At 44.0% G+C, this 25,847-nt stretch overlaps 1 pseudogene, besides 1 other annotated feature; it reads left to right on the top strand.

The window, feature by feature from the left end:
* Positions 6,782-6,951: an enhancer, noted in NCBI's record as "experimental_92170 CRE fragment used in MPRA reporter constructs". NCBI's record gives its function as "activates a minimal promoter by MPRAs in K562 erythroleukemia cells, with activity observed for both the introgressed and non-introgressed 6:53072548 variant alleles {active_cell/tissue: K562}" and the evidence as "EXISTENCE:reporter gene assay evidence [ECO:0000049][PMID:34662402]".
* SOD1P1 (superoxide dismutase 1 pseudogene 1) lies at positions 17,457-17,896 on the top strand (annotated as a pseudogene).

Here is a 25,847-nt window from a genome sequence, read left to right as displayed (position 1 = left end):
AAACTGCAAAGTATCCCTGTCAAATGCTGGCTTTCAAAAACTATCACAGAAACAACCTATTGATAAGACAAAGCTGACTACATTCATACTACAATAAGACAGAAAGAGTGTGCACTACCTTGATAGTCTCGGAGCCCACAGGGGGTGAAGTTGGGATGTTTATGAGGTATCTGAGTCAGGTTTAAGGCAGATCTTTCATTGTGGGGGCTTGCTTAGGATTGCATAAAATTATGATATAATTTAGAGTTGGTAGACAGAGCAAGGTGAAGGTTTGAGATGAACCAGCATTTGAGATGAGTCAACAGTCTTTGATCAAACCATTCATTTAAGTGGGTATTTTGGGAAGTTCCTGGAAGAAATGATAAGGTTACATGCAATTGTATCTCTTGGGCAAGAGTTTCCTGGAGTAGTAAAATTATATTGATGAAGACAGAATAGAAAAGCTATGTTAGTGAAGACAGCCCAGTGATAAGAGAATGTTAATGTAGATGGGAAACTGAGCAGTTCTCACTCCAGTCTCCTTTACCTTTACCAGTCCCCTTACATACTTTACATATGCAAGTATGTATAGTCTTACATACTATACAATTTAATCACTACGATTGTTTGTTGGCTGTCTCCCAACATCCCCTCACAGTGAGAGTGTAAGCTCCACTAAACAGTACCTGACATACATTACTATTAATAATAGCAAATACTTATAGCACTAACCATGTATTGGATGCTGTTCTAAGGGCTTTGTATTTATTTCCTCATATAATCCTCACTAACACCTTATGAGAAGGTATTAATATTGTCTGCATTTTAGATGCATAAGCACAGAGTTACTAAATCCATTTGCCCAAGACCACACAGCTGGTAAATGTAGAATCTGGATTAGAATCCAGTGTCTGGCATCTTTTCAACCTCATTACTAAGAGCCTTCCCTGTGGGTGGACATTTTGGTGAATATTCACACAGGAGGTGTTAAAACTATTAATTGGAGGCCATTAGACTGAGGTGGCTCCAGCACCCTGGGTTCCTACAGAAACAAACTGAAATCCTGCTCAGTATAAATAGTAAAATGAAACTTAAGCTTAAACAATCAGAAACTACCAACTAGCCTTTAGCTTAGGAACTTTCCATCAGAATGATCCAAATAAGGCTTGTTCACTTCAGCCAATGAAATGTTTTATCTGCCTTGCTTCTGCCTTCACCTCATAAAAGTCTTCCTCCCTGATCCCACTTTGGTGGCACCTTTGAACCACATGCAATCTGGTGCTACCCAATTCATGCATTGCTATCTGCTCAAATAAAATCTTCAAACAATTTTAGGGCTGGGCGCGGTGGCTCACGCCTGTAATCCCAGCACTTTGGGAGGCTGAGGTGGGTGGATCACGAGGTCAAGAGATTGAGACCATCCTGGCTAACACAGTGAAACCCCGTCTCTACTAAAAATACAAAAAAAATTAGCCGGGCATGGTGGTGGGTGCCTGTAGTCCCAGCTACTTGGGAGGCTGAGGCAGGAGAATGGCGTGAACCTGGGAGTGGAGGTTGCAGTGAGCCAAGATCATGCCATTGCACTCCAGCCTGGGCAACAGAGCGAGATTCTGTCTCAAAAATAAAAAAAAAAACAATTTTAACAAGTTTTATTTTGGCTGGGCACAGTGGCTCACACCTGTAATCCCAGCACTTTGGGAGGCTAAGGTGGGCAGATCACTTGAGGTCAGGAGTTCGAGACCAACCTGGCCAACATGGTGAAACCCATCTCCACTAAAAATACAAAAATTAACTAGACATGGTGTTGGGCACCTATAATCCCAGCTATTTGCGAGGCTGAGGCAGGAGAATTGCTTGAACCCAGGAGGCGGAGGCTGCAGTGAGCCAAGATTGCACCATTGCACTCCAGCCTGGGCGACAAGAGCGAAACTCTGTCTCAAAAAAAAAAAAGAAGTTTTATTTTGTTTTTAATTGGCACTTTATTGTACATATTTATAGGATACAGTGCAATGTTTTGATACATATATACATTGTGTAATGATCAAATCAGGATAAATAACATATTCATTACTTCAAACACTTGTCATTCATTTGCAGTGAGAATATTCAAAACCTTCTCTTCTAAACAACCCACCAAATGAGAGAAAATATTTGCAAACTACACGTCTGACAAAGGATTAATAACCAAAATATATAAGGAGCTCAGACAACTCAATAGAAAAAATCTAATAATCTTATTTTAAAATGAGCAAAAGATCTGAATAGACCTTTCTCAAAAGACATTACAAATAGTCAGTGGGTATATAAAAAATGCTCATCATTTATCATCAGAGAAATGCAAGTCAAAACTACAATGAGGTATCATCTCACTTCAGTTAAAACAGCTTTTATCCAAAAGGCAGGCAATAATAAATGCTGGTGAGGATGTGGAGAAAAGGGAACCCTTGTACACTGTTGGTGGGAATGGAAATTAGGACAGCCACTGTGGAGGACAGTAAGAAGCTTCCTCAAAAAACTGAAGATGGAGCTACCATATGACCCAGCAATCCCACTGCTAGGTATATATCCCAAAGGAAAAAAAACAGTATATCAAAGAGATACCTGCACTCCCATGAATCAGCCTCAGTGTCCATGAGCGGATGAATGGATAAAAAAAATGTGGTACATATACACAATGAAATATTATTCAGCCATAAAAAAGAGATCCTGTAATTTGCAACAACATGTTAAGTGAAGTAAACCAGGCACACAAAGACAAATTTTACATATGTGGGAGTTAAAAATTAAAACAAACTCATTGAGTGAGACAGTAGAATAATGGTTACTGGAGGCGGGGAAGAGTAGTGGGGAGAAGAGTGGATAAAGTGGGGATGATTAATGGGTACAAAATAATAGATAGAATTAATAAGATCTAGTATTTGATAGCACAGCAGGGTAACTATAGTCAATAATACTTTTTTGTATATTTTAAAATAGCTGGCTAGGCACTATAACTCACACCTGTAATCCCAGCACTTTGGGAGGCCAAGGAGGGTGGATCATTTGAGGCCAGGAGTTTGAGACCAGCCTGGCCAACATGGTGAAACCCTGTCTGTAGTCCCAGCTACTCAAGTGATTCTCCTGTCTCAGCCTCCTGAGTAGCTGGGACTACAGACATGTGCCACCACACCCAGCTAATGTTTGTATTTTTAGTAGAGACAGGTTTCACCATGTTGGCCAGGCTGGTCTCGAACTCCTGACCTCAAGTGATCTGCTCACCTCGACCTCCCAAAGTGCTGGGATTTCAAGTGTGAGCCACTGCACCTGACCATCTTCCAACTATTTTGAAGTATATTGTCATTGACTGTAGTCACCCTACTGTGCAATAGAACCCAGAACTTGTTCTTCCTCCTACTAACTATAACTTTATACTCTAAACTCTCTAAAATTTTAATGTACCTAAGTTTATCTTTCAATAGCAGCAAATATTTTTCGGTACTGAACCATTTCCAAAAGCCAATCCACAAAGGATGTTCTAAAACTTCCTTGGCAACACCTGCCTTGAGGATTGAAACTGTGCCTGGCACCTCTCCTTCCACTGAACAGCAAACATTTACTTCTTTCACTTTTCTTTCCCTCACTGCCATTGCTGATCAAAGTCCCTTTCCTTCTGATTCACACATTCATTCTTTAGTTGTGTCCATGCAATTAAAAAGCCTACTTAGCAGCATCTACTGACTTTTCATATCTCCCTTATTCAGTACAGAGTTTGACTCTTCAGGGCAGTAAGTCCTATTTCCCTGATTCCAAATTGGATTGAGGCCGAGCGCCGTGGCTCATGCTTATAATCCCAGCACTTTGGGAGGCAGAGGTGGGCAGATCACCTGAGGTCAGGAATTCAAGACCAGCTTGGCCAACATGGTGAAACCCCATCTCCACTAAAAATACAAAAAGTAGCCAGGCATGGTGGCGTGTACCTGTAGTTACAGCTACTTAGGAGGCTAAGGCAGGAGAATAGCTTCAGCCCAGGAGGCAGAGGTTGCAGTGAGCTGAGATTGCACCACTGCACTGCAGCCTGGGCACAGAGCGAGACTCTGTCTCAAAAAAAAACAAAAACAAAAAAACCACATTGGATTGAGGTGTGTGGGCAGTGGATAGAGGTGGCCATTCCTATTGTTCTCATATACTTCCTATAATATCATCGTAAAGATGCTTTAAAAAAAAACAAAAACTTAAACTCTAGAAAACACTTATGGTGAAAATAGCGTGTTATACACAAAGTAACAGCTTCCACTTCAATATTTCTTGTGGTTCACATTGGTATCTAGTTTGCACTAAACACCCCTAAGAAGCTTTCAAGCTCTCCCTACGTTTCAGTGCATTCTGCAGTCAAACGTTTATAAATTCAAAACCTTACTAGCATGAGGTGTCATATGAGAGGCTTGACCTTATATATGTTACCCTTAGAGGCATTAGAATGTAAGCTCCTTGAGGACAGGGATTTGTATCTACTTTGTTTATTGATACCTCTTGTCAGGGAAGAGGGCAACACAGTGAGACCCTGTCTCTAGAAAAATTAATTTTAAAAAATAAAAAGAAATTTAACTTTAAGAAAAGAATAAAAGGAAAAAGAAGGCAGTGAATTTAGGAGAACATTTGACCCCTGATGATATATATTGCCAGGTTGTCTCCAGATAGCATACAACAATCCAAACTTGTTCAAAAAGCAAATAAAAAGAAACTGTAACAGTGTAAATGTGTTTATTTAAGTAGAACTAACTTTTGCCAAGCTGGGCATGGATAGGAGAGGGAGAGTACTCAGTAGTCACAGGCATTTTTAAGACTTGGAAAGCTTAAGTAGGAAAACCTTTAAGAACTGGGCACAGTGGCTCCCACTTGTGATCCCAGCACTTTAGGAGGCTGAGGCAGGAGGATCCTTTGAGCCCAGGAGTCCAAGACCAGCCTGTGCAACATGGTAAAACCCCATCTTTACAAAAAATACAAAAATTAGCCAAGTGTGGTGGTGTATGTCTGTAGTTCCAGCTACTCAGGAGGCTGAGGTGGGAGGATTGCTTGAGCCAGGGAGATTGAGGCTGCAGTGAGCCATGTTCGTGCCACTGCACTCTCTCCTGGGTGACAGAGCAAGACCCTGTCTCAATTTAAAAAAAAAGAAAAAGAAAAGGGCCAGGCATGGTGGCTCACACCTATAATCCCAGCACGTTGGGAGGCCGAGGTGGGTGGATCACAAGGTCAGGAGATCGAGACCATCCTGACTAACATGGTGAAACCCCGACTCTACTAAAAATACAAAAAAAAATTAGCCAGGAGTTGGGGCAGGCACCTGTAGTCCCAGCTACTTGGGAGGCTGTGGCAGGAGAATGGCGTGAACCCAGGAGGCAGAGCTTGCAGTGAGCCAAGATCGCACCACTGCACTCCAGCCTGGGTGACAGAGCGAGACTCTGTCTCAAAAAAAAAAAAAAAAAAGAAAAGAGGCCAGGCGCGGTGGCTCACTCCTATTATCCCAGCACTTTGGGAGGCTGAGGGAGGTGGATCACCTGAGGTCAGGAGTTTTAGACCAGCCTGACCAGCAAGGTGAAATCCCATCTCTACTAAAAATACAAAAATTAGCCAGGTATGGTGGCAGGTACCTGTAGTCCCAGCTACTAGGGAGGCTGAGACAGGAGAATTGCTTGAACCTGGGAGGCAGAGGTTGCAGTGAGACAAGATCGCGGCACTTCAGTCCAGCCTGGGCAATAGAATGAGACTCCCTCTCAAAAAAAAAAAAAAAAAGAAAGAAAGAAAGAAAGAAAGAAAAGAAAACATTTAAGAACTTATAAATGCCCTTTCTCATCTCATCCAGCGTTGGGACGAGGCCTGCAGAGGATGTGTTCTGGGTATTTGGTGGCCCTGCTGGTGAGCACTGGTGTTCCTTGAGGTCAACCTGTGCTGAGGACAGGAATATTTCACCCAAGTACATAACTAAGAGAAGATCACTCCCAGAAGATTTCATCCCCAAAAGCAAGAAGGTGAAGGACACTTGTACCCAGACAGTGAGATCCACTGCCTCCTTGCCATGCTTTTAGCTCCCCCCACAGCTGAGCCCTCCTGACCAGAAAACCTGACGGGGCCACCTTCTTCATCCCTCAGTCTCACAGAGGTCCCATAAAACTGAACCAGGCTTGGTGCTGACAGTGGGCCAGGGCAATGTAGGCTCACTGGAGCTGGGTGAGAGTGTGACAGGGAGCGTCAAAGTCAAAATAAAAATATAAAGACAAATCTCTAAATGTAATATTTCTCCTTAGGAATCACAGAATTGCAATTTGGTGCACACACACAGATGGGGTGGTCTTCAGTGTGTCCGAAGGACAAAGAGAAGGTTAGGAGTTTTATTAGAAAGGGAAATATTACATATGGTTTTGAAAGAAAGCTCGTTGGCACTGGAGAAGATTTTGGGAGCTGGCAAGCTCCGATTGGTGAGTGACAGTAGTCGGTAAAGCTAGTCGTAGAGTCACAGCAGGGCATTTCAGCAGCTACTGGGTAAAACTGATCTTACCTATAGCAGGCCATTGCAGCAGCTGGGCTTGTGGAGAATTCAGTTATTGGATCAGTGCTATGTGCCCTGATGCTTTTCCAACCTGTCCTTTCTACTTTGATTTAGTTGGGTATCACAAGAATGACCCAATTTGCATAATAAACATTCAAAAGAAAAAGTAGCCAGCGCTGGTGCTGGTTCAAGAGGATGCTGTGTAGGCTGAGGCTGGGGACAGGCACACCATATTATGTCTAAGCAAAATGGCCAGGTCTAGTGCTTCGGCTGCAATGAGGAGGGTGCCGTGGGAAGGGACGCATCAGTGGAGGTCTCAGAGATGGTCCCCGGAAAAGTGGAACTGCAAGAGAAGTTGATACAGGTGTCAGCAGGAGACAGTCATATAGTGGTCCTCACAGAAGATGGCCATGTCTTCCTCTGAGGCTGCTTCCAGAACAATTACAGTGTGATCAGGCTGTTAGATCCCATGAAGAAGAGCATGATGATTGTGCAAGTGCAGCTGGACATGCCCACGGTGAAGTTGGCCTCAGGAAATGGCCACTTGGTGATGCTGACAGCTGACAGTGACCTAGATACCTTGTGCTGTGGGAGCAAGGCCATCTGGGCCTTGTGCTTGAATTATGTGCCAACCGTGATGGCCGACAGGGCATGATTCCTGGTCCCCCAGATATGATGCTGAAATTCAGGGGAAGCTGGGACCTGATGCCCTTCTGTAGCACCTGCCTCACCATTCCATCCCCTATAAAGGGCACATACACAGAATATGGCTTTGGCCTCTTCAACAACCATCAGCTTGGAACCCCAGGCACAGAATCTTGCTTCATACCCCAGAACCTGGGATCCTTCAAGAACTCTACCAAGTCCAGGCCAGGCGCAGTGGCTCACGCCTGTAATCTCAGCACTTTGGGAGGCTGAGGCGGGCGGATCACAAGGTCAGGAGATTGAGACCATCCTGGCTAACAAGGTGAAACCCCGTCTCTACTAAAAATACAAAAAAAATTACCTGGGCGTGGTGGTGGGCACCTGTAGTCCCAGCTACTTGGGAGGCTGAGGCAGGAGAATGGCGTTAACCAGGGAGACGGAGCTTGCAGTGACCCGAGACCATGCCACTGCACTCCAGCTTGGGTGACAGAGCAAGATTGCGTCTAAAAAAAAAAAAAAAAGAAAAAAAAAAGAACTCTACCAAGTCCAGGTAGGCTTCTCTGGTGGCCAGCACCATACAGTCTTCGGGGATTCAGAAGGAAAAGCATGCAGCCTGGGCCAGGCTGAATATAGACGGTGGGCCTTCATGGGTGCTAAGGAGAAGAACATGCCCACCCTCATCTCCAGGCTGGTGCCATCTTCTCAGTCTCCTCAGTGGCTTTGGGCCTCTGTAGGGTAAACTGTGATCAGTGATGGACGTGTTTTTGCCTGGGACATGGACAGCAACTACCAGCCGGGCTTAGAGCGGGATGAGGATGCCTGGAGCTTGGTGGAGATGACAGGCAAAGAGCTGGAGAACCATGTGGTCCTCTATTAGTCAAGGGCAAGGAGTGGAGCTGATGAAGCCTCTGAGCGACCGGTTCATGGCCCCAGGACCCTTCCACACAGAACAGGGAAGCAGTGACAGCTACAAATTCTAGCAGGCCTCTCCTAGCCCTGAGCACTCTGCCATTTGTCTTTTTCCCATCAGCATGACAGAATCCTTTTCTTCTTTGTCTTCCTCCTTTCTGGAATCATCCTGGGACCTGTAGGATGAAGTAGGGGATGAAAGAGGGGATGTCAGAAGGGGCATTGCTCACCCCAGAGCTAAGTGGTTAGACCTTTCCTCCCATGTCCCTGTCTTTCATGGCCCTGACTGATTCTGGCTTTGCCTATCAAAAAATCAAAATATGGCTGGGCACAGTGTCTCACGCCTGTAATCCCAGCACATTGGGAGATCGAGGCGAGCAGATCACTTGAGGTCAGTAGTTCGAGACCAGAGCCAAGATAACTCCACTGCACTCCAGCCTGGGCAGCAGAGTGAGTCAACTCCAACTCAAAAAAAAAAGTTTACTTCACCCCTGGGGGTTTGTTGTCCATGCTCTGAGGAGCTGGGGCTCGATCAAGCTGCACTCTAGTCATGTGCCATTTGTGCTGTCCCTAACATCCACAAGCAGATACTTGGTACAGTCATCAGACTCAGCTGTCATGAACCCATGCCTAGGGAAACCAGAGAAGAGGCAGAGCAACCCTGTAGTGAAAAAGAGAAAAAGCCCCTACTTCATCCTCTGAAGGTTTGCTGAAAAGGCAGATTAGTAAGAGAAAAATGCATGCAAAATTTATTTTAGCATGCATAGCATGGGGGAATCACAAGAGAATGATTGCCCAGTGACCCAACAGGGTGCAGGTGCTTATAGGCCCTTCTTCATAGGGGAAGGGGAGATGGGAGGTGCAGGAGAAAATGATTTTCAGGGGGAAAGAATGGACCCAGTGCTCCGAGAATGGTGAGTAAATAGTTTTCTTTGGGGATTGAACAGGACTGGAGAACAAACAATGGTTTAGGACAATTTTTCTGGGCTCTAGGTTTGGCACAGTCTCTTCCTCTGTGATATGAGTTTTAATCTTCTCTGATTAATGAAATTTCAAACCGGGTACAGTGGCTCAAACCTGAAATCCCAGCACTTTGGGAGGCTGAGGTGGGCAGATCGCTTGAGCTCAGGAGTTTGAGACCAGCCTGGGGAACATGGTGAAACCCTGCCTCTACAAAAAATTTAAAAATTAGCCAGATGTGGTGGCATGTGCCCATAGTACCAGCTACTCAGGAGGCTAAGGTGAGAGGATTACTTGAGCCTGGGAGGCTGGGGCTGCAGTGGGCAGTGATCACAGCACTGCACTCTAGCCTGGGTGTCAGAGAAAGACCCTGTCTCGAAAAAAAAAAAAAAAAAAAAAAAAGAACAAAAAGAACAAAGGAAAAAGAAATTTCAGGGAAGGGATTGAAGATAATTATGTTCCTCTTCAGGGGCCCAATTTCTACGATAAGGGAACTTCAGAGAATGGTCTCATCCTGCACTTTAGGAGGAGAGACAGAAGATCAGAGAGATAGGAAGGGGGCAGGTCAGAGAGACGTTGAGGCTGCTTCTTTTTTTATTCTTTTTTTTTTTTTGAGACGGAGTCTCGCTCTTCCACCCAGGCCGGGTTGCAGTGGTGCGATCTCGGCTCACTGCAAGCTCCGCCTCCCGTGCTCACGCCATTCTTCTGCCTCAGCCTCCCGAGTAACTAGGACTACAGGCGCCCGCCACTGCGCCCAGCTAATTTTTTGTATTTTTAGTAGAGACCGGGTTTCACCGTGTTAGCCAGGATGGTCTCGGTCTCCTGACCTCGTGATCCACCCGCCTCGGCCTCCCAAAGTGCTGGGATCACAGGCGTGGAGCCACCACGCCCGGCCTTTTTATTCTTTTAATAGTAGATATAGGGTCTCACTATGTTGCCCAGGCTGGTCTCTAACTCCTGGCCTAAAGTGATCCTCCTGTTTCAGCCTCCCAAAGTGCTGGGATTACATGCAGGAGACACGAAGCCCAGCCTGAGGCTTCCTCTTTAGTTCCATATTTTGGGGTATCATTTTCTGAGTACCAAAAACCCCAAACCAAATATTTGACTCTGGGCAGGTGTCCATAGGACAAAAAGGACAATAATTCTCCACTCAACCAATAAAAAAGCTAGTGAGCCGATCCCCCAGAAGTCAAAGCATTCTCTGCCCCTCAGGCATCCATCTCACCAGTCAGCCTCACCTGCAGCCCTGGGCCTAGAACTAGAGGAGAAGCCACTCTGGGCAGGGCTTGCGGAGAGAGAAGAGGAGGGTTTTATAAACAATCTTATAGCAATACTGAGAGCAGAGAGACGGGGGAAAGAGTTGGAGAGGCAGGGGCTGGTGCTGAGTGAGAAAAGGAAGTGGCAACTCATACAGTGGCTGACAAAATACACAACAGTTTTGATTATTTTATTTTACTATTGTATTTTATTTTGAGACAAAGTCTTGCTCTATCACCCAGGCTGGAGTGCAATGGCGTGATCTCGGCTCATTGCAACCTCTGCCTCCTGGGTTCCAGCAATTCTCCTGTCTCAGCCTCCCAAGTAGCTGGGATTACAGGCACCCGCCACCACGCCCGGCTAATTTTTGTATTTTTTAGTAGAGACAGGGTTTCACCATGTTGGTCAGGCTGGTCTCCAACTCCTGACCTCAGGTGAGCCACCCACCTCAGCCTCCAAAAGTGCTGGGATTACAGGTGTGAGCCACCGTGCCTGGCCTAGTTTTGATTATTATTAATTGTAAAATATTTTGGAGGGTAGAGCAAAATCTTTTAATACTTTGAATAAATTCAGAGCTCTGTAAAACAAGCCGTTTGTTTTCTTCACACTTCCTGCTTTCTTAAGGGAACACCTGCTGTCTGCCAGGCACTGTGGGGAAGGGCAGAGTAAAGCCATGCCTGAGAACCTGGAGTCCGGTGATGATGTAAGTGATGTCAAGGCCCAAAGTGCCTGTGTGGCTAGTTCAAAGGGCTCTTCAAATCTGTACAAATCCAAGAAGGAGAGAAGAGTTGATTGAGTTATGTTTGGGTATTTATGTTTCAGGAATCATTGGATTTAAAATAAAATGATGTTGCATCATTGAAGAGAAATGAAATGGATCTTTTACTATCTTAATCCCAAAACAAGATTTTTAAGTAGCACATCTCTAGAAAGGCTTACTGAGCTGCCTTTTCAACAGCTGTCATCCTTGTATAAACATGATTAATTGCACAATAACTCTGAAGACAGCTTATGTATATTAGTGTATATTATGTATATTAATTTTCATAAGCACTCAAGTAACCTAATCATATAGGACTGACCTGTCCAATATAGTGGTCACTAGCTGCACATGGCTATTTACATTTAAATTAACCAAACTTATTTAATAATTAAACTTCCTTGGTTGAACGAGCCACATTTCAAGTACTCAGTGGTCACATATGACCAGGGCCCATGGTATTGGACCGTGCAAATATAGAAATATATAGAACAAGGCCAGGCGCAGTGGCTCACACCTGTAATCCCAGCAGTTTGGGAGGCCGAGGTGGGTTGATCACAAGGTCAGGAGTTCAAGACCAGCCTGGCCAAGATGGTGAAACCCCATCTCTACTCAAAATACAAAAATTAGCCAGGCATGGTGGCAGGCGCCTGTAATCCCAGCTACTTAGGAGGCTGAGGCAGGAGAATCACTTGAACCCGAGAGGCAGAGGTTGCAGTGAGCTGAGATTGCGCCATTGCACTCCAGCCTGGGCAACAGAACAAGACTCTGACTCAAAAAAATTATATATATATAAAAAACAAGGCTGGGCACGGTGGTTCATGCCTGTAATCCCAACACTTTGGGAGGCCAACACAGGTGGATCACCTGTAGTAAGGAGTTCAAGACCAGACTGGCCAATGTGGTGAAACCCCATCTCTACTAAAAATACAAAAGTTAGCTGGGTGTGGTGGCACGTACCTGTAATCCCAGCTACTCAGGAGGCTGAGACAGAAGAATCACTTGAACCCAGGAAGTGGAGGTTGTGGTGAGCCGAGATCTTGCCATTGCACTCCAGCCTGGGCAACAAGAGTGAAACTCCATCTCAAAAAAAAAAAAAAAGAAAAGAAAAATGAAATATATAGAACATGCAAATATAGAATATGTCCATCCTTGTAGAAATTTACAATGAACAATGGAACTGGAAAGGTTTTTTAGCACCAGGAGGATTCTTCTTGGGTGGCAGTGACTCTTGAAAAATGAATACAATGAAAAAAGGAACTTATAAGTGAAGGGAAAATATTGCCCTTGTGGAGTTAAGCTAGTAGTATGCATACATATATGCAAAGTGAGCTGAAAAAAAAGACTGGCTTCCAGATTGGAAAGATTATGTTCCCGTAGGGCAAGGGAAAGCTCCCCCTTCACCCTCTGAAGGTTCACTGAAAATCAACTGGCAAAAGGCAGATTACAGCCAGGTACAGTGGTATGCACCTGTAGTCCCAACTACTCAGGAGGTTGAGGAGGGAGGATCCCTTGGGGCCAGGAGTATGAGGCTGTAATGCACTGTGATCATGCCTGTGAATAGCCAGCACACTCCAACCGGGGCGACATAGGGAGACCCCCATCTCTGTTTTTTTAAAGGCAGATTAATAGGCGAGAAGGCATACAAATTTACTTTTTCATACTTTTATATGACACAAGACCCTTCAGAATGAAGGCACAAAGATACAAGGGAAACTGTTCATTCTTATGGTTAGGTTCAACAAAGTATCAACAGCCTTGTGGAAATATAACTGGAGAAAAAGGGCGTGCTCTAAAGCTAACAGGCTGAGCGGGGAAACCCAGCAAAGCCCTTCTGTTTAGATTCCTCTTGGCCTCTCTGAGCAGCATTCCTTCCTTCTGGGTGTGGGGCAGGACCCTCTCTGGAATGGGGGTCTTATGACCTACAAACATGTAAGGTGGGTCAGATAATTTCTTTATAGTCAGTTCTTATACAGAAGGGGCAGGAGGAAAGTTAGAGTAGTATTTTTAGGTTTTGTGGCTGGTTTGGGGGAAAAGAAGTTCTGGTTTCTATGGCCTTGGGGAAGAGGGATTCTAGTTTCTATGGCTGGCCTCAGGGGAGAATGAAGGGCCAGAGACAGCAGGGCAGGAGAAGGTCAGAGAGAAACTTTTGCTTCAGGCTGCTTTTGAGGTCTTATTTTGAGGTATCACTTTCTAAGCCTCAACATTTCCATAGGAAAAATCTACATAAAAATGAAAGCTATCAACCAGACAGTGGACTGTCAGGTAGGGAAATAGGATTATCATCATCACTGTCTTCTTCATTTTCAAAACAACAGGTACTACGCCAGGTGCGAGGGCTCACACCTGTAATCCAAGCACATTGAGAGGCCAAGGCAGGCAAATCACTTGAGGCCAAGAGTTTGAGACCAGCCTGGCCAACGTGGCAAAACCCTGTCTCTACTAAAAATACAAAAGTTAGCTGGGTGTTAGCACACGCCTGTAATACCAGCTACTTAGGAGGCTGAGGCAGGAGAATCACTTGAGCTTGAACCGGGGAGGTGGAGGTTGCAGTGAGCTGAGATCACAGCACTGCAGGCCAGCCTGGGCAACAGAGACTGTCTCAAAAAACACACAAACAGCAACAACAACAACAACAAAACAATGGGTACTATTTGTTGAATTCAGATTGTGGGACAAATGTTCTTTTTTTGTTTTGTTTTGTTTTGTTTTTTTTGAGATGGAGTCTCTCTGTCGCCCAGGCTGGAGTGCAGTGGTACGATCTCTGCTCACTGCAAGCTCCGCCTCCCAGGTTCATGCCATTCTCCTGCCTCAGCCTCCCAAGTAGCTGGGACTACAGGTGCCCGCCACCACACCCAGCTAATTTTTTGTATTTTTAGTAGAGACAGGGTTTCATCGTGTTAGCCAGGATGGTCTCAATCTCCTGACCTCATGATCCGCCCGCCTCAGCCTTCCAAAGTGCTAGGATTACAGGCGTGAGCCACCGCGCCCGGCCGGGACAAATGTTCTTAATTCGCATAGCAACCTGTTGAGGGCGTTGTTATTACACTCATTTTCTTAGAAGAAAATTCAGGCTCCAGGTAACTCCATTGTCTCCAAAAACCTGTCCTCCTAACTACGATGGCAAACTTTCTCTGTAAAGCGTCGGATGGTAAATACGTTAGGTTTTGTCGGTCATGAGATCTTTGCTGAAACTTCCCACCTCTGCTGTTGGAGCAAGAAAGAAGCCATACACAGACATAAGTGAAGGCTGTGGCTGTGTTCTGATAAAACTTTATAGACACTGAAGTTTGAGTTCCATAAATTTTTCTTGTGTCACACACACAAAATATTCTGATTTTGTGTGATACATATACACCACGGAATATTACACAGCCATAAAAAGAATGAAACTGTGTCCTTTGCAGCAACGTGAATGTAGCTGGAGACCATTATCCTAAGCAAATTAATGCAGGAACAGAAAACCAAATACCACATGTTCTCACTTATAGGTACACATATTCAAAGATGGGAACAATAGACAATGGGGACTATTAGAAGAAAGGGGGAGGGAGGGGGGCATGGGGTGAATAACTACCTATTGGGTGCTATGCTCACTACCTGGGTGATGGGACCATTTGTATCCCAAACTTCAGCATCACGTGATATACCCACATAACAAACCTGCACATGTACACCCTGCACCTTAAATAAAAGCAGAAAATACATGTATTCTTATTTTGATTTTTTCCAACCCTTTACATATGTAATCATTTTTCTTAACTTGAAGGTTTACAGAATTGCCCAGGGAGCTATAGTTTGCAGACCTCTGACACGTCTCAAGTTTGACTAAGTAGTCGAAGACGCTAAACTGGCAGCACCCATCCAAGTACGTTTCTGCGGGGAGGGAATCCTACTCAGTGGACAAGAGTCTGTTGTGGAGATGGACACATTAATGCCAACATCTAATGCTTATTCAGGACCAACCATATGCCTAAGCTCCGCACTTTAACTTAGACTATCTCACGTCATCTTCAGAGGAGCTCCATGAAGTAGTTACCTCTGATTTCACCCCTTTACAGATGAAGCAATCGATCCATAAAGAAGTTAACTAGCTTGTCCAAGGTCACACAACTAGTTTGTGGTTGGGTGGGGATTTGAACTGAAAGAGTCTAATGTCGTGCTGAATGCCTTCCGTTAAACATTTAACTGTAGTCTCCCTCTCCCCTGCATTCTTACCCTCCAACCCACAGGCCTTCTCTCAGTTCCTCTCAAACTCTCACTTCCATCTGCCTCTGCTTCCGCACTGCCCAGTACTTTGAATGCTTCCTGCCACACCCATCAGACCTTTTTCTGGATCTTTTTGATTCTTCAGGTCTTAACTCAAATTTCACCTCCTTAAAGAAGCCTTCATTGATCACCCAATTGAAAGAAATAACACAGGTGCGCGCAAAACACACACAAGCATACACACAATTTCTCTGACTCTCTCCTCGTCCTATTCAACATTCTGTTTTTATAGAAGTCATGTCTATTTGAAAATTTGAAATAGTCTTATTTATTCATCTATTTTATTGTCTTCGGTTAGATTGCAAGTACTTGACTTTGTCCATCTTTTACCACATTATAATTAGTTTCTACAATGCCTGACACATTGTAGATGTTCAATATATTATTATTTTATTATTTTTTATTTTATTTTATTTTATTTTTTTGAGTCAGAGTCTCACTTTGTCGCCCAGGCTGGAGTGCAATGGTGTGATCTCCACTCACTGCAACCTCTGCCTCCCTGGTTCAAGCAATTCTCGTGCCTCAGACTCCCGAGTAGCTAGGATTATAGGGGTGCTCCACCACACCCAGTTAATTTTTGTATTTTTAGTAAAGATGGGGTTTCACTAAGTTGGCCAGGCTGGTCTTGAACTCCGTACCTCAGGTGATCCACCCACCTCAGCCTTCCAAAGTGCTGAGATTACAGACGTGAGCCACCATGCCTAGCCACATCATAGATGTTCAATACATTCTAACTCTGTGTTCTGATACTACATTTACTGAGGAGCTTTCAAACTCTATTTTAATTTCATCTATTGGGAGAGATTTGCAACTTATGAAAACTTTTGGTCCCTGTATAGGGTGGATTCTTGCAGGAGGCCAACAAATAATTATTCTGCTTAAGATGTGACTTCGAAGGCATTGACCGCAGCATGATATCTAATGATGCCTTAACCTGAGAGTTACGTTTTCCACTGGAAGTTCATAAATCAGCATTTCTGTTGCCCACTTATGAATTGTGGTTAGTCCTCATCTTCCCCAGAAAGTGTCCCTGGTCCTTGAAAATGAAAGATCATATCTGGCCATTAGGCACTTAGATGACAGATGTTTCTTCAAATAATTCCTTCCAGGATCACCCAGACATGACTGTGTTTGGCTAATTTAGGGAATGGTGCCCTTAACAATCTCTCATCTGCCTCCCCAGTCTCTCTTTTCCTCTTATCACAACCTTCCTACACTTCTCTCTCCTCCTCCCGTCTTCCAATGCAGACCTGTTCCAGGATGTCTCTCTCCTAGTTTTATTCCCTCTTACCCTATAAGATATACCTGCCATGCCTCTTATATCCCAGGGGCCTTACTTTTAAAGACCCTTCCCAGTGAACTCTCCTCGAATGTGAATAGGATCATAGATGATATGAATGTATGGAAGGTGTATGGCTTCCTTCCTTCCTGCCTGCCTTCCTTCCTTCCTTCCCTCCTTTCTTCCTTCCCTCCATCTCTGCTTCTTTCCCTCCTTCTTTCTTTCCTTCCTTCCTTTCTTCCTTCCTTCCCTTCCTTCCTTCCCTCCCTCCTTCCTTCCTTTAGTATCCCAGACTTCAGCATCACGTGATATACCCATGTAACAAACCTTCCTCCCTTCCTTTCTTCCATCCTTCCCTCGCTCCCTCTCTCCCTCCCTCATTCCTTCCCTCCTTCCCTTCTTTTCCTTCCTTCCTTCCTTCCTTCTCTTTCTCTCTTTCCCAAACTTTCTGTAAATTGCTTACATTATTTTATAATTTAAAGTTGATTTTTAGCCAGGTACGGTGGCTCACACCTGTAATCCTAGCACTTTGGGAGGCCAAGGTGGGCAAATCACTTGAGGTCAGGAGTTTGAAACCAGCCTGACCAACATGGTGAAACATTGTCTCTACTAAAAATACAAAAAAATTAGCCAGACGTGGTAGGGGGGGTGCCTGTAATCCCAGCTACTTGGGAAGCTGAGGCAGGAGAATGGCTTGAACCCAGGAGGCAGAGGTTGCAGTGAGCTGAGATCACACCACTGCACTCCAGCCTGGGCAACAGAGTGAAAGTCCATCTCTAAATAAATAAATAAATAAATAAAGTATTTTTTTTAAGTTAAGCCAAAATTCCGTCACAGCCTTCAGAGCCTGGACCAGAGCATACCCCACAAAAGCCATGACAACAAGGGCCGTGTGCATGTTGGAGGCCTAAGGCCTCGTGCTGGCACCATCCACTTTAAACAGAAGGAAAATGGGCGAGCTGTGGTATCGGGACGCATTATAGGATTGACTAAAGTTCAGCATAGATTCCACGTCCATCAGTTTGGAGCTAATAAACAAGGCTGATCTGCACTTTAATCCTCTAACCAAAAAACACGGTGGCCCAAAGGATCAAGAGAGGCATGTCGGAGACCTGGGCAATGTGATGGCTGGCAAAGATGGTGTGGCCAATGTGTCTACTGAAGATTCACTTTCAGAAGATCATTCCATCAGTGGCTGTACAAGGGTGATCCAGAAGAAACAGATGTCTTGGGCAAAGGTTGCAATGAAGAAAGCACAAAGACGAGAAACACTGGAAGTCATTTAGCTTGCGGTGCCATTGAGATTGCCCAATAAACATTCCCTAGAATGTGACCTGAGTGCCAATAACTCCACCATTACCCTGCTAGCTATGAAAATGTAACGTGAGGCTGGGTGCAGTGGCTCACGCCTGTAATCCCAGCACTTTGGGAGGCCAAGGTGCGCAGATAACGAGGTCAGGAGTTCAAGACCAGCCTGACCGAAATGGTGAAAAGCCATCTCTACTAAAAATACAAAAATTAGCCAGGCGTGGTGGCGTGAGCCTGTAATCCTAGCTACTCAGGAGGCTGAGGCAGGAGAATCGCTTGAACCCAGGAGGCAGAGGTTGCAGTGAGCCGAGATCGAGCCACTGCACTCCAGCCTGGGTGACAGAATGAGACTCCATATCAAAAAAAGAAAAAAAGAAAAAGAAAATGTAATGTGATAAATATTAAATACTGTACTTGTAACTGCCCAAGTGGTTCACCTTGCCTGCTGCCTAGACACAGCTGATTCATCAAGACAGAGGAATTGCAATAGACAAAGAGTAATTCAGGCCCGGCGCGATGGCTCACGCCTGTAATCCCAACACTTTGGGAGGCCGAGGCAGGCGGATCACTTCAGGTCACGAGTTCGAGACCAGCATGGCCAACATGGTGAAACCCCATCTCTACTAAAAATACGAAAATTAGCTGGGTGTGGTGGCGTGCAACTGTAATCCCAGCTACTGGGGAGGCTGAGGCAGGGGAATCGCTGGAACCCGGGAGGTGGAGGCTCCAGTGGGCCAAGATCGCACCACTGCACTCCAGCCTGGGCGACACAGTGAGACTCTGTCTCAAAAATTAAGAAAAAAAGGAAAATTTATATGACATCGTAAAATGAAAAGTATTTGCCACAAATAGAAAGTAACTTTAAAATAAATACCACAGAAATAAAACAGTATTCTTAAATCTAGTTTAATACCTTTGCCTGCTGAAGGGTGGGATCTTTTGTTAAAAGGATAATTAACAAGTGTTAGGGATCTTCTCCTAAATTTAATCAGAATGACTGGAGGAACACTGAGTCATTGTTACTTAGTACAATTATTGTCATACCTCTTTTAGGGTCTGTTTGCACTTTAATGAAGCAATTGGGTGCTTGGCTGAAGAGAAAAAACTCTCTCAAAGTTGTTTTTCAGGTGCTAGGGCTGGTGGGGGCAGGAAAGGTAAGGCGCGCATGCCTTAGGGTTAGGTCTGGGTGATCAGGTGGTGTTTTCCTGAAGATAATACATCCTACGGTATCCTAAAGTGTCTGGCCCCACAGGTAGAGATTCAGGTATGTGGGTGACAGACTACTCATTCCCAGGCCTGAACACAGCCCCATAGCTACTCATACAGATATTCAAGCAGGAAAAAGTATGCTTTCTCTTTCTTTTTTTCTTAATAGAGACAGGGTCTCCCTATGTTGCCCAGGCTGGTCTTGAACTCCTGGACTCGAGGGATCCTCCTGCTTCAGCCTTCCAAAGTGATAGGATTACAGGCGTGAGCTACCACGACTGGCCACCTCTCCCCTCCCCTCCCCTCCCCTCCCCTCCCCTCCCCTCCCCTCCTCTCCCCTCCCCTCCCCTCCTGTCCTCTCCGCTCCTCTCCTTTCCTTCCTACCTCCTGCATTTGTTTTCCTTTTCTCTTCTTTCTTTTCTTTTATTTTCCTTTCTTTCTTATATTCCTTCCTTGCTTCCTCCTTCTTTTCTTTCTTTTTTTTTTCCTTTCTTTCTTTTCTTTCTGGATCTCACATCTGTTTCCCAGGCTGGAGTGCCACAGCATGATCTCGGCTCACTTCAGCCTTGACCTCCTGGGCTCAGTGATTCTCCCACCTCTGTATCCCAAGTAGCTGGGACTACAGGCGTGCGCCACTGTGCCTAGCTAATTTCTTATATATTTAGTAGAGACAGGGTTTGCCATGTTGCTCAAGCTGTATTTTCTCTCTTTCTACTGGAAATATTTACTAGGGAAAGGCAGGAAAAAAGACTACAACAAAACTGACAGCAAATGAACTGCTGCAGAAGTGAACTGTCCAAACTGGCCTTGCAAGTTTTCCCCTTCTAATTTAGTCTTTGTTCCTTGCTACAGTTACTGTCACTAACTATAACCAAAGATCTATAGAAGATACATCTATTAATGTTAATTTAGTCTTTGCTCCATGCTACAGTTACTGTCACTAACTACAACCAAAGATCTAGAGAAGATACATCTATTAATATTAGTCTTTGCTCAATGTTACAGTTACTGTCACTAACTACAACCAAAGATCTAGAGAAGATACATCTATTAATGTTAATTTAGTCTTTGCTCAATGCTACAGTTCCTGTCCCTAACTACAACCAAAGATCTAGAGAAGATACATCTATTAATGTTAGTCTTTGCTCAATGTTACAGTTACTGTCACTAACTACAACCAAAGATCTAGAAAGGATACATCTATTAATGCTACAATGTAGTCAAAAGAGCTCTAGATTTGGAAGCAGGAAATCTGAAATCTGTTCCTCCTTTAGCATTTCTTAGCTGTTATGATTACCTTGAGCAATGTATCCCTTGCCTGATCTTTCTCATTTTCCATTAAATCTTCCATTTTCTACCCCTTAGGTGAACAGATTTGCCTTTGACGGCCCAGTGAGCTACTCTTTAAGATGAGAACAACAATATTTTATCCTGTCATGGAAGGCAGGGGACTGGACTAGTTAATTTCTTGTACCCATCAGTTCTGGGATCATAAAATCCTATGAATTAGAGAAAACCAACTGTATGCTGGTGCCAGACTCTTGAACATGAAGCAAGTATGCAACAGACCAATGTTTCAGCATGTGCCTGCCCACATGACAAACTGTTGTTTATAGAGCACCAACTATGCACACAATAATGATGATGACAAGTCATTTTTGAGTGTTTACTCCTCACAACAGCCCCATGAACTAGTTTGTATCATTATCCCCACTTAAAAAATATAGAAACGGAGGCACAGGGAAGCCAAGTCATTTGTCCACAGCACAAAATCAATAAGCAGCAGAGATGACTTTGAACAGAGACCATCTGTTGAAACTGACTGCAAAGAGGCACAGGGAATTTTGAGGGGTGATGGAAATGTTTTTTTATTATAAAATTAAATGTCAAAGGTGGAGAACTGTTTCCCAGAGAGCAGTTTCGAAACTATTTGTAGCTAAGTTTAATTTGTTATATTTTATTTTTATTATAAATTTTTTTTTTTTTGAGAGATGAGGCCTCACTGTGTTGCCCAGGCTGGAGTGCAGTGGCATGATCGTAGCTTACTGCGGCCTCAAACTCCTGGGCTCAAGCCATCCTCCCACCTCAGGCTCCCGAGTAGCTGGGACTACAGGTGTGTGCCACCATACCCAGTTGGAAATGGTCTATGTCTTGATGCAAATGCTCTATATCTGGGTGGTTATAAAACTATAGAACTGTACACCTAAAGAGGGTGAATTTCACTCTATGTAAGTTATATTTTAATAAACCTGACTTTTAGGACAAACGAAAAAACAGAACGAAGAGCAAACAGAATTTAGAACAAACAAACAAAAAAACCCAGAATGAAGCCAAGAGTTAAGGAAGAGAGCAAGGGAGGGAGGTTGGGAGGAAGGAAGGAGGGGAGGACTCTGCAGAGCAGGCTGGAAGCTAGGAAGAATGCCCTGTATGTGCTGACCAGGCAAGCACAGAAGTCGCCTGGAGAGCCACGCCTCTGCTATCTGTTTCCATTGCCTCAGGGAGAAAAACAAAAAGATAATAAATTCAGCTTCTCTTTTTCTTTTGTTGATGGCCTTCTCCTTTCACCTTTGTTTTGTGATTTCGCTTCAGAGGGCAGTCTCTCTTTTTCAACTCAGTTCCAGCTGCTGAAAGTGAAGGCCTAGACATTTGATCTCCTCTTGATTTGACCAGAACACCCTGTTCGAGAGACAGGACAAGCAGTAACACAGGGGTTTTGGCAAAGAATCGGACTGTATTGATCTAAGTAAATGAATGAATACATTAGTGTTTTTGCTGCCAGCAATCTGGTAAGAACTCTTAAACACATCCAGCAAGGGTTAAGTAGGAAACAATGGTGTTCCCTTGCCAACATCCACTGCAGTGTGTGGAGAATTATTTTCAAATTTCTATTTTGGATGCAGGCAGGAAAGGGGACAAGGTTTGAAAAATTATGCTCACTACTTGGGTGATGGGATCATCCGTATCCCAATCCTCAGCATCACACAATATACCCATGTAACAAATCTACATGTATCCCCTGTATCTAAAATAAGAGTTAAAAAAAAATTTAAATTCCGTTTTGGCAAATGCATTTCCTTTCCTATCTCACTAGACTGGAGCCTCTGACCCTCTCAGGACACCCCTCAGGCAGGGGAGTTTCCTCATCACAACCTGTTTGTTTCATCCTGAATTACAGCCCTAAATCCTTTGCTGAGTTGCCATTTTCATTAAATCAAAGTATACTTGTTAGAGACTTAAAGTTGATTAAATAGCAAAATAAACCACTTATCTTCCTATACATCTTCAACTCCCAGAGCTAGTTGTGACAAGGGTTTTGGTGGCCACCAAGAAACCACACTATAAGAATTTTAGAAGAGAGTTACTTTCATTTCATATTTAAATTATTATTATTATTATTTTTTTTTTTTTTTTTTTTTTTTTTTTTTTTTTTGAGACGGAGTTTCACTCTTGTTGCCCAGGCTGGAGTGCAGTGGCGCGATCTCGGCTCATTGCAACCTCCACCTCCCAGGTTCAACTGATTCTCCTACCTCAGCCTCCCAAGTAGCAGGGGTTATAGGCATGCGCCACCATGCCTGGCTAATTTTTTTTGTATTTTTAGTAGAGACAGGGTTTCACCATGTTAGTCAGGCTGGTCTCAAACTCCTAACATCAGGTGATCCACCCACCTCGACCTCCCAGAATCCTGGGATTACAGGCGTGAGCCACCGCGCCCAGCCAAATTGTTTATTTTTAAAAATGTTTGAATGTGTAATTCATTCCTATGTCTAAAAAAACTAAGAGAAAATTACAGAGTGAAGTTTCTTTCTACACTTGTCCCCCATCTACCCAGCATTCCCTTCCTAAAACAAGTTTCTTTTTTATTCTTCCAAGGATTTTAATGCATATGAATATCAATATTTATTTACCGAAGTATATACACCTAGAGGCCAGGTGCAGTGGCTCACGCCTGTAATCCCAGCACTTTGGGAGGCTGAGGGCAGGAGTTTGAGACCAGCCTGGCCAACATGGCAAAACCCCGTCTCTACTAAAAATACAAAAAAAAATTAGCTGGGCATGGTGGTGGCAGGCGCCTGTAATCCCAGCTACTCAGGAGGCTGAGGTGGGAGAATTGCTTGAACCCAGGAGGCAGAGGTTGCAGTGAGCTGAGATGGTGCCATTGCACTCCAGCCTGGCCGACGAGCGAAACTCCTTCTCAAAAAAAAAAAAGAAAAAGAAAGCTTTACCAGATTCTTTTCTCTCTCTTTCTCCCATTTTTTTAACTTTTATTTTAGGTTTATGGTACATGTGCAGGTTTGTTAAATAGGTAAATTGTGTGTCACAGGGGTTTGGTGTACAGAAAATTTTGTCCCCAGGCAATGAACATAGTACCCAATAGGTATTTTTTCTGATCCCCTCTCTGCTCCCACCTTCCACCCTCAAGTATGCCCTAGCGCACCTGTTGTTCACCTCCCAGTGTCCATGTATTCTTGTGCGTAGCTCCCACTTATAACTGAGAACATGCAGTATTTAATATTCTGTTCCTGCATTAGTTTGCTTAGGATAATGGCCCTGGCTCTATCCATGTTGCTGTGAAAGACATGATCTTGTTCTTTTTTATGGCTGCATAGTATTCCATGGTATATATGTAATCACATTTTCTATTTTTTTTTTTTTTTTTTTTGAGACAGAGTCTCGCTCTATTGCCCAGGCTGGAGTATAGTGGCACCATCTCGGCTCACTGCAACTTCTGCCTTCTGGGTTCAGATGATTCTTGTGCCTCAGCCTCCCTAGTAGCTGCAACTACAGGCATGTTCCACCATGCCTGGCTAATTTTTTTTTTTTGAGACATATTTCACTCTTGTCGCCCAGGCCTGGGCAACAGAGCGAGACTCTGTCTCCAAAAAAAAAAAAAAAAGATAGAAAATGTGGTTACATATATACCATGGAATACTATGCAGCCAATAAAAAAGAACAAGATTGGCTGGGCACGGTGACTCACGCCTGTAATCCCAGCACTTTGGGAGGCTGAGGCAGGTGGATCACGAGGTCAGGAGATAGAGACCATCCTGGCTAACACAGTGAAACCCCGTCTCTACTAAAAATACAAAAAAAAAAATTAGCCGGGCGTGGTGATGGGCGCCTGCAGTCCCAGCTACTCTGGAGGCTAAGGCAGGAGAATGGCGTGAACCTGGGAGGCAGAGCTTGCAGTGAGCCGAGATCGTGCCACTGCACTCCAGCCTGGGCAATGGAGCCAGACTCCATCTCAAAAAAAAAAAAAGAACAAGATCGTTATTTTAAGCAAACTAATACAGGAACAGAAAATTAAATACTGCATGTTCTCAGTTATAAGTCAGAGCTACACATCAAGAACACATGGACACTAGGTGGTGAACAACAGGCGCTGGGGTGTACTTGAGGGTGGAAGGTGGGTGTCCATCTACTAGAAATATATAAAATATAATAATATACAATGTTATCAGAAGGTGATTTCAAGGGATTGGGAAGGATCCTGTGTGGCTTTGGCCAATATTGGCCATTTTGACCATTATTGTAGTTTACGTTAAAAATAACTAACATTTTCACAGAGCCTTAGAGTCTTAGAGTTATTGCATACTTATGTTATTCCACCTACATTAGTGGTGGAATGAGGCAGGAATGTATTATCATTTTTATTTTACAGATGAAATGCAAGGAGATTAAGTGACTTGTCCAAGAGCTAAGTAGTAAATGGGGTTGCCAGGAGTTGAATTCCAGTTGCCTGACTTGATGTCTAGCATAAAGGCAGCCAAGCAACTATATGATTTAGCTATGTAATGTAACCCTTTAGAGCCCACACCTTGCAAGCTCTGTGCCATAGCTTTTAGATTAGTTGCTTAAAACTGAAGCCAAGCTTTTCAGTGGCAATGATTTAAGTTGCTAAATATAATCATGACTCTCAAGAAAGTTATATTTTAACTTTGTATGATCTAGTTTTGTGTTTTTTTGTTGTTTTTTTTTTTGAGACGGAGTCTCCCTCTGTCGCCCAGGCTGGAGTGCAGTGGCATGATCTCGGCTCACCGCAACTTCCGCCTCCTGGGTTCAAGCAATTCTCCTGCCTCAGCCTCTTGAGTAGCTGGGATTACCGGCATGTGCCACCACGCCCGGCTAATTTTTTTTGTATTTTTAGTAGAGACGAGGTTTCACCATATTGGTCAGGCTGGTCTCAAACTCCTGACCTTGTGATCCACCCAACTCGGCCCCCCAAAGTGCTGGGATTACAGGCATGAGCCACCACGCCTGGCCCTAGTTGTCTAAAACTTTGAACAGGTCTTTAAAAAATATATTCTGTTGATCTACTGTGGATCAATATAAAGACATTTGCTAAGGATCAGATCCCATGTAATATCTTACACATTGGGTATAGATTAGGCTGGAACCTAGTTCTTAGATTCCTACTCAGTTATTTCACTAAATGAATACTTACTTAATTATACTTAGTGAATATTTTACTTAATTATGCTTACTAGGCAGAATAGTAGGAGATGTAGCTCTAACCTCTAGTGACATATTTTAATAAACAGATCACAGCCTGGGTAACAAAAGCAAGACCCTGTCTCTACAAAAAATATAAAAAATTAGCCGGGTGTGGTGGTGCATGCCTGTGGTCCTACTTGGGACCCTACGGTCCCAAGAGATCTGGAAGGGTCTCTTGAGCCCAGGAGTTTTAGGCTGCAGTGAGCTACTGCACTCCAGCCTGGGTCACAGGTGAGATTCTGTCTCTAAAACAAAAACAA

This window comes from Homo sapiens, chromosome 6 (assembly GCF_000001405.40).
Source record: "Homo sapiens chromosome 6, GRCh38.p14 Primary Assembly".
NCBI classification, from domain to species: Eukaryota; Metazoa; Chordata; class Mammalia; order Primates; family Hominidae; genus Homo; species Homo sapiens.
This window is presented reverse-complemented; position numbering and strand designations above follow the sequence as displayed.